Here is a 14,672-nt window from a genome sequence, read left to right as displayed (position 1 = left end):
GCATAATGTCCTAAAGGGCAGGAGAAGTCTAAAACAGCAATAAAATTGTCAGCTTTTAATAACCAGCCATGTTTCCATGGTACTTTATCATTTGCAGTGCATTTTAAACAGCTATTACATACTCATTTGTTTGTTTACTTATTCCTTCAACACCAGGACCATACTGTGACTTTTGTGGGTCCTAGGACCTTTGCCTTCTTGGGCCCCTTCCTCCATTAGAAAAATTAAAATAGCTTAATAGATTTTGTGGGTCCTAAAAATTTCATTTTTTTCTAATGCGAGGAAAAATTGAAACATTTTCTTCTGTCCTGACAGTTCATTTTTTTCTTTTGATTTTAAAATAAATTAAAACATTTTCTTTAGCTAGGGGTGGTGATGCACACCTGTAGTCCCAGCTACTCAGGAGGCTGAGGTAGGAGGATTGCCTTAGCTGAGGAGGTCAAGGCTGCTGTGAGCTGAGACTGGACTACTGTGCTCCAACGTGGACAACAGATAGAGACCCTGTCTCACACACACACACAAAAACCACCCACACACACACATGAAAACAAAACAAAGGAAAACATTTTCTTGGGCCCCTAAAAAGCACTGTGAGCCCAGGCACTATGCTTACTGTATTTCTTGGAGGGGCCAAGTATGGGCTATGGGTTAGAGACACAAAGATGAGTATATGCAGCCCTGACCCTAAAGAGCTCAGCAGTCTCAGGGAAGCAGACCTGCAAGCAAGCCATTTGGTGGCTGGCAATCAGGGCTATGACTAAAGTCTGTTACTGGTTCTACAAGAGCATGGAGGGGTCAGCTCCTAACTCTACAGACAGTGGGAGGACAGCTTTGTGAAAGGAGCATTGCTCAAGTGGCTGTTTAAGCCAGCATTTTTCAGCAATTTTGTGTTTGAGGCCCACTTTCAAATTTTATAATTTCTTGATAAATTAACAAATTAAGAACACTGGGCCAAAGAAGCAAGTTTCAGAGAATTGAAGAAACTTGCTGTTAATTTTGGTATATGGAGATATATGTGGTTTTTGTCTTCTGATCAATATGTAAGATGTATTTTTGCTACAACTGGATACATATGGTCACCTCAATGTTAGCCAATAGTGTCAAGCTAAGTACCTTTTGGCTCAGGACAGAGGGTACTGGCTGAGAGGGAGATGTGGGACTGGCTGAGAGGGAGATGTGGGAAGTTCAGGGCATCGAGCTGGTTCCAAAGGAAGACCACGTGTTCAATGGGGCATGAAAAGCTTTTCCTCTTGATTACATGAAAGACTGCAGCTAGGAACCAACATAATTCTTCTCAGTGCTGAAGAACAACCAAACCCACAAGGGGATGATAATGTTTAGCCTCCTTTGTGGGAAAAATATATTCTAGACATTGATCAAAATCTGGCAACACACTTAGTTGTCAGGTGTTCAAGATACACCAGCCTGCCAAGCTACAGTGGTTGATATCTGCTACTCTCAGAATAATAACTGCAAACACTTAGAATGTCCCAAGGACCATTCTAAGAGATATATATGTGTTTATAATCCTCATCACAATCCTACTATGTGAGCATTATTTTGATGCCCATTTTAAAAATGAGGAAACTGAGACCTGGAGACTTTTGATGATCTGCCTTAATAAGCAGCAGAGCTAGGATTTGAACACAAGCATTCTGGATCTAAGATCTGTGCTCTCAATCACTACACTTCACTACTTGTGGATGCTTCTTACACACCCTCTGCTGTCTTGCGCCTGCCTCTGAGCAGCCTCACACAGGAGCAACCTGACAACGCCTCACCGCAGGCTTCTCACTGGGCACTGAAGAGTGGAACAGGAGCCCACTCATCGCCCTGCCATGAGCAATCCACAAGTGCTTCGAGAAGTTAATGTCCTAGAACAAATGGATGGATCCCAAGACTGATTTCGCTTGGCATCTCAGACAGCCCCATAAGGTCCAGCAACCCATCACAAGTTGCCCTGGCAGCGTTGCCAGATAAAATCCAGGATGCCCAGTTAACTTTAGACACCAGACAAAGAACAAGTGATTTTTAAGTATTAGTATGCCCCAAATACTGTCTGGTCCATAGGAAGAGTGAAAAATTCTTTGTCATGTATCCAAAATTCAAAGTTAACTGGGTGTTTGGTAGTTGTATTTGCTAAACAGGAAAACCCTAAGCAGTAGCCAACTTGCCAGTATGGCATGGCACAGGCTTTCCTTCCTTCCCTGCTTGGCTCCCTGTTTCTCATCCAGCTCCTGGGGGTCACATCCACAATAAAGAACAGGTAGGCCTTTGCCTTGGCCCCAGCTTTCTGGGAACCCAGGCTACGACCCAACTGGGCAAGGGTTTTTCCAGGCAGACAAGGTAGCTGTAATGCTCCCAGCTTTCCTGTGAGGTGGGGACTGCTGCTGTCAGCATGGCACCCACATTACAAATAAGAAGGCCAAGGTTCAGGGATATCCATCCGTTTGCCAGGACTCACACTCTGCTGCTCCAGCTCCACCAGTCTCTTACTATGAAAGAGTTTTCCAGACTATTCTTGAGAAACATTTCAGCATTATTAGAAAAGGCATTAATTGGCTTAGGCAATCATTGATTCATTTAACAATTACCTCCATTTGTTGAAAGAAACCCTCTCAGCCACGCTGTCAAAGGGATCCTGTGACATATGCACTGGAGAAATAGTCTCAGCGCAGCTGTAATGTCAAGATGTTCGATGTCTCCTGTTTTACGCTTGTTGGAATGGTCAATGTTAAAACATGAAGTTTTCAACTTCAGATCTTCACGATGAAACCAGCAGTTTGTTATTATTTCTGCATATGACTAAATATAATGTTCATTTCAAAAGTAATGACTGATTGCAAAGAGATACATGCAGAAAGCCTGAAATTACAGTTGCCTTTCACCTGAATCAGAAACTCAGTTCCCTTTTCATTGCATTTCCCTGTAGGTTGGCCTCTGAAAGAGCTGAAATACTATAAACTACCATTTGGGACAGTTGGAGAAAAACAGCAAATATTAGAAAACCTGTGCCAAAGCACTTGCACCCAGTGGGTATACACAAGAATGTAACCTCCTCCAAACTTTCAAAAACAAAGCCAAACCTTGGCTGCAAATAAGCCTCAAATGAGAAAGAAACACTCATTTGCTTCTGAAAAATGGGAAAGGCTGTACTTTATCTACAAGGTGTTCTTTTCCTTATAAACCATGAGAAACAGACCTCTTTTTTGTTCTCTTTGTCTGCTGGAACTTCATTTTGAAGGAAGGAAGTTACAAGGAATGAACCACCTTGTAAGGGCAAGAAAATCTTTCTCCACAGTGTGGCTGGATTTGCTCCTGGAAGCAGCCACTTTGGTAGGTCTCTCCAATGAGGCTTTTTCTCACAGCAGTCCAGGGAAGCAGATGGATTAGATGGCTGGCTCTGGTTACCTATGGCTGCCTGCCCAGTCCCCTGGGCATTCCAAGGCCCCACCTTCCACCTGGCCCATGACCTCTGACCCAGGCCCTGTAGCCAGCAAGGGTGTGGGGAAAGAGCGGGGTGGGTATAGGTATCAGGCTGCCTGGGCCCAGGCTACAAATGAAAGAGTCAGTTGTTTCCATGCCTCATGCTCTATTGTGCCGTCCCGGGAGCTGCAGAACTGGTATTTCTCCAAATCCTGGTGGCTCACATGGCTGTGTAGACAAGCTGTACTTACAGTGGTACACGTGTATGTGTGTTGCATGGAAATCAGCAGTCCTGCTTCCAGTCCCAGCTCTGCCTCTGCCTCATTCTGGGACTTCAGAGAGCCCCTTTGCCACTTCAAGGAGCCTCAGTTTTCTCATCTACGAAATGGCACTGTTGGATCCTTGTAAGTGCTTGGGAAAGGGTGGGGAGTGGGGTGCAGAGTAGGGGCTGCTGACCAGGCAGTTTCCTGCCATCCTCTATAATCCTGCTCACCACCACCCCGAGGGCAACAAAAACAACTCCACCTTCATCTGTCTTGTATTTTGTATTTTCACATAAAACCTTCTCAGAAGAAAAACTTTTGTTGGCTTCTAAAAACCACTGGACTAGGCGATCTGTAAGTGACCTATGAAATTGATTATTCTGTAATTCCATGATTCCAAAACAAAAACACAGACTTAGACTTTTTAAAGGATCGTGTGCTGTTTGGGAGGATGAGAAAATTATGACATATGTAGTGATGTGTTTCTGATACTGAAGATTCTCTTATGCGGCACCCCCTGCTTCCACCTGCCACAAAGGGAACATATAAAGTTTCCAGAGTCCTAGCCCCCTCCTTTGTTACACCTGATAAAGGCTCATGTTAATTATTTAGCCAACGGTGCTAACTGGAACATAGTCATATGATGAAGCTGCCTTGAAAACATTTCCGCGTGTAACATAAGGCTTTTGCAACTTAAACGTATTTTTTTCTTCTTTCATATCAGCAGTTATTTTATGGAACTGGGCTGAGACAGCTTAGCAACAAAGGGCACTGGGTTGGTGAATTATTCATGTAATCTACATTTCCTGGCTGCTGTGGATAATTGACAGGTGTCATGTCACCTTTTACAAACGTCCCACAATTATGGACCATATATCAGTGTTGGACTTCGAAGTAATGCTCCCTTTCTAAGCTAGTTTCATATTTTATTTACAGCTTGGTGGCATTTTTGACTTGGCTGCCTATTTCTCTCACTTTTGATTCCAAGCCTTTTGCTCCACTTAATATAACCAGGAACATTTAAATAATGAGACTCCCTCTCAGTTTGCTAAAGGCAGTCATTCATTGCTGTGGTGTCTTATTCATTCAGCCATTATGTTAGTCAATTTCTTGATTTAAGAAATGCAGGATGAAATGCAACTGTAAGGAAACCATGATATAATTTTTTTTATGACTTGTTTTGTTCACAAGGGAAAAACCAAAAGCAAATCTTCCGTGTGTCTGACACAAGTTGTAAACTGTAGGGGAAAGTTGGCTAGTTAAAGAATATGACTTAGTTAATAGAAGATGGCATATTTCAAATCTCCACCAGAGTTGGAAGTTTTCTAGCATTAGAAACAAAGCCAAGGCAAGTTCTATTTAGGCCTACTGAGAAAATCAGGTAAGAAAATAAACCTGCAGTTGATAACCCTGAAGACTAATGACAGAACATAGCCATACATGAAACTGAAACATTCAGAGCAAACTGGAACCTTCGGAGTCCTCTAGTCTACCTTTCCACTTTAGCCATCAGGAAACTGAGTCCCAAGACATGTAAAGGTTTGTCCACCATCCCAACACCAGTTAGTGGAAAGGCTACAAGCCAGGTCAGCCGGTTCCTCCTCCAGCACTGTCACCGTTCTGCCCTGGCCTGGAGCACTCTCCTTACCTCCCGGGATTCATTCACTTCTTCTACTGCCAGTGATCTCTGACTCTTCCTTGGGGATATTCACCCCTTCCTAACACTCAGCTCTGTGATTTGTGTAGAATGATCTCAAACTCACTCTCGACATGAGCATGATTGATTAAGTCCATCAATTTTCCTGAATGGAATGGCCACATGACCTAAACTGGACCAGTAAGATACAGTGAACCCCAGCACTTGGATGGGAGCTGTTGGAAGAGATTTTCAGTCCTACTAGATTGGCTGTTGTAAGGGTGTGAGGTCTGGAGCTGCTACATATTATTTTGCTACCAATATGGAAAGAGGCTGGAGCTACAGGAAGTGGGTGGGGAAAATGTATCATGTGATGCCTGCGGGTGAAGCTTGCCAACACAAAACTACTGGGCAGAGAAAGCAAACCTGGGTTAAGTAAACATATCATTTATCTTCTAAACCAGGACAATTCTGAGAATGAAAAAGGGCAGGACAAATGCTAAACCAGACAGGATGCCGGAACAGTAGGCATAAACAGAACTGTTCTGGGCAAACAGGGACACACAGTCATCCACTCTACGATGACACTGTCTGAGCTGCTAGATTAAGCCTTGACTCTCAATTCAGCTGGCTGGATTCAGCTAGCACTCTATTTGGCCTTTTTAATCTCGGTAACAATGAACTCACTTCATTGTTGAAACCAGTTTGAGTTAAGAGTATTGTAACTTGTATGTAAAGCTTTAACTTACACAAATATGCTGCTTCCTAAGTGTTGCACTTTCTAAAATCTTGTCCTACATCATATCGGAAGTTTGTAATTAAAGATTATTATTGTATGTTTTTCGTATGTTTTCACTCATAAGTGTGAGCTAAGCTATGAGAATGCAAAGGCGTAACAATGGACTTTGGGGACTCAGGGAGAAAGGGTGGGAGGGGGAGTGAGGGATAAAATGCTACAAATTGGGTTCAGCGTATACGACTCGGGTGATGGGTGCACCAAAATCTCACAAATCACCACAAAAGAACTGACTCAGGTAACCAAATACCATCTCTTCCCCAAAAATCTATGGAAATTTGAAAAAAATGCTTTAAGAAAAAAAAGATTATTATTATATGTTTTACTTTTATAAATATTAATACTTTAACTTTTACTTCAACCAGTGCAAACTGTCATTTTACAGATAAATTCCAAATTAATTATCTTACTTACACCAGTAACCCTGTGAAATAAGTATCGTGTAAGATTTGGGGAAGTTAAAAAATTAACCCAGACTCTCGTGGCTGATGTGGCAGATACGTAGTGGTGGCTCTCTTGGGGGTTAAAACCCACAACACTGATTTGTATTCTTTGCCAACTTCTGTGGCGTAACTATCCCAACAAGGTCTGATCTCAGGGTATCAACCTGACATCATTGAACACAGAGTTGGGAAGCAATATCTTGTTCTCACAAGCCAGCTGTGGTATCCCATGGCATGGAGCGGTCATCCAAGGCTTCTGATTCCCTTTCATCAGTTCTTCTCATTTTTATGCTCCAGCAGTTTGGTGTAAGGCAGTTCTGAATTGTGCTGTCTTAACGATTGCAAATGTGCCCCAGGGCCAGTGGTGCAAGAGGCCTTCAAAGGAGAGTTCATCAGAACAGAACAGCAGTGACCAAGCCAGTCCAGAGTTTGCATTTCTCCAGCCTGACCTCACTGATGCCCACCCCGGGCAGGAAGTGCTGCTGGGACTTGAGCATTTGCTGTGCTCCCTACTTGGATGTGACTACTTCCTGGTGCCCCCTACTTCCAGGTTCTCTGCCCTGCCTCCTGGACCACTATGTGGAATAGCCATTGGGGCAGAAATACAGAAACGGATGGTCTTAGAGTTCTTTTCCTCTGCCTTGGAGTCCTTCAGCCTGGCTGAGGACTACAACAGTCTTTGCTATTCTCTGATCATGGCTGTCAGAGCTAGGTCCCCTGCAGTGAGGGGGACACTTCCAAGCCCATTCACACTCATTATCTCATTTGAAGGTATTGACTGCATTGTGTGCTAAATGCTTTGCCTCAGCAGAGAGAGCTTGGAGAACAGTTGAGTCATGTGAAAACCCTGGTGGCAGCAACCTAATTTGCAGTCCTGGGGCTTAGGGGAAATTAGCCAGTCTTTTTTTCCTTTTTTTTTTTTTTTAAATTAGCCAGTCTTAACAGGGCTTGCTTTACAAACTCAAGCCTACCGGTTGTAAGCAATGCCACAGTAACTTTAATTGTCAAAAATCATGGAGCCGTTGAATGGCACGGTAAGAGTAATTTTCCATCTTTGACATTCAGAATATGTAAAAATTATAAGAAGATCTTCTAGTTATAATTCAACTCAAATCATGATAGAGCACTTTTTAAATGTGACTGCGATTTCCTCCTGTGAGTTAGGAAGGAGGGGAGCGATGATGACACCACAGTATTAGTATTAGCCAGTTTCACTGTGGTCAGTGCTCACTTGGCCACACTCAGAAGGATAATGGAAAAAAATCATTTTGGTTTTATTTCGGAGGGGGTTTTATACTTATGTTTAAATATGAAGATGTCAGAGCATCTGAACATTCCCTTAGAATGACTTAATGAAGCAAGTTTAGGAAGAATTGGGAAACTGCCTGCCCTCTCTCCAGGCTGCCCTACTGCAATATAGTCCTGGGTGAATAAGGGTTCTTTTACAGAACTATTGAAATGTTCGTGGCCCCTCTAGATTTTCCTATAGAAATGATGGTGACTGGGCCTCATATTGCTTTTCCACACGCAAAGAAAATAGAATTGAAGTGAATCAACCAAACAATATTTTTTTGAATCAAGATGAATGTGGTCATGCAAGGTGTGTAGAGCACAAAGCCATAGTAAAGGCCGTGGTCTCTGCCCATTTCAAAGGATGTGATTTGGCTGAGGGGCTGACCTGCTAAACAGCAGGAAGCTATCCATTGCAGCTTATCATAAAGAGGTAAGCTGGTATGGATGGCTCAGGCTGTTGAAATTTGAAAGAATTGGCGATCAGGGAGGGCTGGAAAGGTCAGAAAAGAATTCAGGAAGGAGGGGAGACGTAAGCTGGGCCTTGAAAGGTGCACAGAAAAGGGAGGATATTTCAGCTAAGATGAATGAAAGCACCATGGGACAGTTAGAGGCATGAATATCCAGGATGTTTCTATACATGAGTGCCATTAAGCAGCTAGGGTTCTCCCATGGAAAGTAAGTGAGATGTTAACACCACGAACTCCTCAGCAGAGCAGGCCTTAACTGTTCATAAAGCTAAGAATGAGCAGGCAAATCTAGCCACCATTAATAGGCATTATCTATAGTCCAAGTATATCACACAGTGATTCTGAATAATATTTCTTGAAACATCAGCATCCACACATATTCAAAGGGAAAAGTTCTGATATTTTCAGCTGGTGACCAAATTGGATGATGCACAGCTGATTTGATTTGCTGTATAGTGAATTTTGTCATTAGGATGATTACAAAAGAAACTAGACACTGACAAATTCATGAATTATTTAAAGTTATGAACTCTTTGTAGCAGGTGGGTATTCTAGGCCCAAAGAATGTGAAAGTAATGAAAACATAGGAGTGTTACATATTTCTAGGGGTTTATATGTTTACATATTTCTAAAGGCTCAAGGAAACACCAATAAATGAGGGACAGTGGCTAATATGGTGACATAAGACATGTCATCATGGCAAAACCCTCATGAGATCTATATTTTCGTCACACTAGTCACCGGTCTTCCCTTGTAGGAGGTGGAATGACCAAAAATTCTGGATCTCTCTGGCACTGTGTGTCAGTTTGACCGTGTGCAAAGTTTAAAGTTCAGCTACCTCACATATTAAAACAGGCTGATGGTCCCCTCCCATTCCTTCCAGACAAATAGGCCTCCAGTCTATGGCACTGAGCCCCAGAGAAGGAAGTCACTTGCTCAAGAATTGCATTGAAGTCAAAAGCCAGATATTCTACCCAAAGCAAGTAGAAAAGGAGGGGGAAAAGCTCAGTATCTGCAAATATTAGACAGTGGAGCCTCAGGGCAGATAAGTTCTACTACTTGTAAGAAGATTGAACAAGACATTGAAGAAAGTTAGGGAATCTCCTTCCATAAATATTTAGAATTTTTAATCCAGTATTTATTTGGAGACAAGTAGATGGGAATAATTATTCTTTTCTGTTTGGTTTCTACTAAACCTCTGTTCCCAAACATCATTCTACGAGACAATAATTTTTATATCTTATTGGAAAAACAGAAAAGCCCTAAGTGAGCAGGTAAAAACTTTATAATTGAGAGAAAACAGGAAGAAAAGAAAATATTTTGATACATACCAAGACTCCTGACTGCAAACAATATAGACTCTCTCAGGTCACCTTGGAAAAATGAGAGATTTACTGGGAGATTTACCGGAGAATTTGTGGACTGGGCAGATGTGGAAGCCTCCAGAAACAGTGGCAGCTCTGGGTCTGGCTGTTCTCCCGTCTGTCTCTGGGGCCACCCTGACTCATCCTCCTCTCCTTTCTGACTAGTTTCTTGGCTTCCTCATGGCTTCTGCTCCCTCATAACCAGCTTACACATGGCATTCATTACAGCCTCTCGGGCCCCTCTCCAACCAAGACCCTTCAGTTTCAGCTCACCACTACTACCTAGCATATTCTTGCTGCACTTAAGCTCTCAGGAGCATGACTGTGATTGGCCCAGTTCACCTACTGGAGTCAGGTTGCATTTTAGACCATTGTCTGGCCAATGCAACGGTGGCCCTTAGGTCAGGTGCCCACCACTGGTCCAATTCACCAAAGCAGATGATGGGTGGGAGGTAAAAGGGTGTGGTCAGAGCATTGCTCATCAGAAAGGGCTGAGGCACAGGCAGGCTCTGATTACTAATGAGGACCAGCTTTCCTTCAGAACCAGCAAAAATGCCCTTAAACTGCGGCCTGAGGGCATGTTTTATTGTTTTATTTATTCAATCATGTATTAATTCTTACCTGTCTCTATAACAAAAGATTTGAGGTGATTTACACAACTATGTACAATATAAAAGGATCAAACAGTTGAGAAATGTAGGCAAATGGGGAAAAAAAGAGAATTTGTCCCTATTTCACAGGGACAAAATTAGTACCACGTAGTCTGTAACACTCAACACTAGAAACTTGCTAAAAGTGGGTGGTATTGTCTGAATGTTTGTATGCCCCACCACTCCCCAAATTCAGATGTTAAAACCTGATCCCCAGTGCACCAGTGTTAAGCAGTGGGGCCTTTAGGAGGTGATTAGGACATAAGGGCAGAGCCCTCATGAATGGGATTAGTGCCCTTATAAAAGAAGACAAAGGCAGCTTGTTCTCCCCTTCCACCACATGAGGATGCAGCAAGGAGGAACCATCTTTGAAGCAGAGAGAGCAGCCCTCACCAGATACTGACTCTGCTGGTGCCTTGATCTTGGACTTCCCAGCCTCTAGAACAGTGAGCAATACATTTCTGTTGTTTACAAATTATCTAGTCTAAGGTATATTGTTATAAACAGTGGGAAGGGACTAAGACAGTGGGCCTTGAATTTGTTTCTAAATCTAAGACCTGCCAAACTTAATAGCAAGTGGCTACATATAAGAGGAAAGTCCAGGCAGAAAATGTCATTTATAGAATAGGTTACAATCACAGCCTGTGGAAGCCTGTCTCTCTAAGACAGATTCTCTTCTTTCTGTGTTGATCTGTGGGCTGCCTTGATAGGGAAGAAGACTCTAAATTATGTCTCAAGGCTTCTTCTGGTCTTGATTTCATAACAGTGGTTGAAATTTCATTGACTGGGCCAGAAAACAAATCATTAAGAAGGCAAAATTTTATGTAGCTAAAACCAACCTCCAACACAACTTCATTCCATTGAAGCCTTAGCCCCCAGCCCCCTCCAAAGTTGAAGACACAGTTGAAAAGCTGAAAAGGCAGGTCATACATTTCTCATTTCTTTTTTATTGTGTATTGTAAGGCAAGAAGTACATAAGAAGGCTGGCTCAGTCACTCCAGTTTGTTGCCTGTAGCATTTCCAATACTCTCGGATCTTCTGAAGCTCTTTATTTACTACTTTTTTGCTTCCTTTTGATGATACAGCAGCAAAAAGTTCTAGAAAGCTTTGTCCTGGAGCCTGTAAATGGGAGAGTGCTACCCTGGGGTACCGGGCATGCCATGCTACATGAGATGAACCGTGAGAGCTCTGGAAAGGGAAATTGAATGTTTCCTCTCAGACTGGAACTGGGACTCCTTCTATATAAAAGGACAGCTGTCGTTTAATATTCATTGAGCAGCCACCATGTTCTAAGTGTCGTATGAAGCATATACATGATGTGACATTTGAAAAGAGAAGGCTCGTTTATACAGGAACTGGTTACTGCTGGTACTGGATTTGATGACTGTATGGTAAGGGGTAGAAGGGACACTTGGTGCTTTAACTTTTGCTAACTGAGAAAAATGCTATGTGGATTGCCAGGATGGTGATCCTGAAAAATCATTTACAATATTCAATTAACAATAATTAAGGCACTCAGTGGGAAGCTCCTCACTGACTTGCTAAGTAGCAAAAATTGGTGCTTGGCATTCCCAGTGGATGAGAGAAAAGATAATAAGTACCCCAAATGTAAAGACAATCAAAATGAAACCAATTATGACCAAATTATATCAGGCAAATAGAAGCACAAGTTGAATCAGGAATATTTAAGTTTTTAACAAGAAATATTAAAAAGAGATATAATAACATTTTAGCCATTAATTGATCATCTAATCTAGTTTAGTTCTGGGAAGAGAAATGGTTTATAAACCTTTAAGTTTTACATATGTTGATAAGGGACCACAGTCTATTAAAACAACCTCATATTTTTAAGTGCTCATGTAGGCTAATTTTCTGTTAATACAGTTAATAATGAGCCACAACTGATTCTATTACCAATAGTCTTATTAAAAAGACAGTTAGCTAGTCATTTCATCCATCTTTTCACAACCACGTGCTCACGAATATTAATGGTAATTTGATTTACTATATTCAACTTTAATAATTTTAAACTATCCTCCACCAACTAATTTTTATAGCATTAAAACAGTATTTTTTTCTTTACTTCTTTACAGTTTCTTTTTAACCTACTCTCTTATTATTCTTCACTTCATCAATTTTCCCTCCTCCACATATCTGAAATTATACAATCAGTTCTAGAATTCTAATGATCCCTCAATATCCAACTGAGGGGTAAGTCAGTCAAGGGTCACCTGTATATACTCGTAATGCAGGCAGCCTAAAGCATGGAAAACTTGTTAGTTTTCATCTAATTCAACTTCCTTATTAGTATGTGTATATCCATTTCTCAACTGACTAATATTTAAATCTAAAGACCTTATCCAGGTTGATATCTGGCAAGAAAAAAATGCATTCATCATTGCAGTATTCACATAAGCATCAATAAGAGTTCTCTTTCAAGTCCTCTGTTCTAGTCCCCATATCCAAATATGTCAGCTCCATTAAGTCTTTACTGTTAAAAATTTTATACGTCTGTTTAGGCTGGGCATGGTGGCTCATGCTCGTAATCCTAGGAGTTTGGGAGGCCAAGGCAGGAGGATTGCCTGAGGCTAGGAGTTCAAAATCAGCCTGGGCAATATAGGGAGACCCTTGTTTCTTCAAAACAAAACAAAACAAAACAAAAATTAGTCAGGCATGGTGGCATGCACCTATAGTCCCATCTATTCAGGAGGCAGAGATGGGAGGATTGCTTGAGCCGAAGAGTTCCAGGTTGCAGTGAGCTGTTGATTGCACCATTTCACTCTAGCCTGGGCAATAGACTGAGACCAGTCTCTAAAAAAAATTAAGCACGTTTGAACAAAACCCTCATATTTATTATCAGAAAACTAAGCTCTATCAATCCATTCATATGAAAGCCACTCTGGAAGGGCATAAATCATGGCTATCATGAAGATGTAAACATATATGTGTGTACGCATATGTGTATATGTATAAAAATATGTAAACATATATGTATATATACGTATATTTTTCCAAAAAATGATCATACTCTTACAAATACAATGGCTGCATAATAATATGGATGTAGTTTACCTCATTTGATTAGTCCTCTGTTGGCCAGGATTTAGGCTCTTTCCAATTTGTTTGCACATAAACCATTACACACTCATCTGATTGTTCCCTTCGGAAGAGTTTCTGCAGGATATCTATATCTATATCTATATCTATATCTATATCTATATCTATATCTATATCTATATCTATATCTATATCTATACAGATATAGATATAGATATATATAGACCTGCATACATAGAGGTCATATATACATATTATATGACAGTCTCTCTCTCTATATATATATTTATATATATATTTATATGTATTTATATATTTATTTATTTATATATTTATATATATTTATATATATTTATATGTATATATATTTATATATATTTATATGTATATATATTTATATATATTTATATATATTTATATATATATATTTATATATATTCATATATATTTATATATATATTTATATATTTATATATATTTATATATATATTCATGTATATTTATGTATATTTATATATATTTATATATATTTATATATATATATTTATATATATTTATATATATATATTTATATATATTTATATATTCATATATATTTATATATATTTATATATATATTCATATATATTTATATATATTTATATGTATATTCATATATATTTATATATATTTATATATATTCATATATATTTATATATATATTCATATATATTTATATATATTTATATAGATATTCATATATATTTATATATATTTATATAGATAATCATATACATTTATATATATTTATATATATTTATATAGATATTCATATATATTTATATATATTTATATAGATATTCATATATATTTATATATATTTATATATATATTCATATATATTTGTATATATTTATATATATATTCATATATATTTGTATATATTTATATATATATTCATATATATTTATATATATATTCATATATATTCATATATATTTATATATATATTCATATATATTTATATATATATTTATATATATATTCATATATATTTATATATATTTATATATATATTCATATATATTTATATATATATTTATATATATTTACATATATTTATATATATATTCATATATATTTATACATATTTATATACATTCATATATATTTATACATATATATATTTATATATATTTATATATATTTATATATATTTATATATATTTATATATATATTTATATATATTTATATATTTATATATATATTTGCATATATTTATATATATTTATATATT

The 14,672-nt window shown here is 38.9% G+C and overlaps 2 annotated features.

Annotated features, from left to right (window-relative positions):
- Positions 6,519-7,053: an enhancer, noted in NCBI's record as "H3K27ac hESC enhancer chr5:60585563-60586097 (GRCh37/hg19 assembly coordinates)". NCBI's record gives its function as "activates a minimal SCP1, AML or CMV promoter by ChIP-STARR-seq in primed H9 embryonic stem cells {active_cell/tissue: H9 hESC(primed)}" and the evidence as "EXISTENCE:reporter gene assay evidence [ECO:0000049][PMID:30033119]".
- Positions 7,054-7,590: an enhancer, noted in NCBI's record as "NANOG-H3K27ac hESC enhancer chr5:60585026-60585562 (GRCh37/hg19 assembly coordinates)". NCBI's record gives its function as "activates a minimal SCP1, AML or CMV promoter by ChIP-STARR-seq in primed H9 embryonic stem cells {active_cell/tissue: H9 hESC(primed)}" and the evidence as "EXISTENCE:reporter gene assay evidence [ECO:0000049][PMID:30033119]".

The sequence above is a fragment of the Homo sapiens genome, chromosome 5 (genome assembly GCF_000001405.40).
Source record: "Homo sapiens chromosome 5, GRCh38.p14 Primary Assembly".
Lineage (NCBI taxonomy): Eukaryota > Metazoa > Chordata > Mammalia > Primates > Hominidae > Homo > Homo sapiens.
This window is presented reverse-complemented; position numbering and strand designations above follow the sequence as displayed.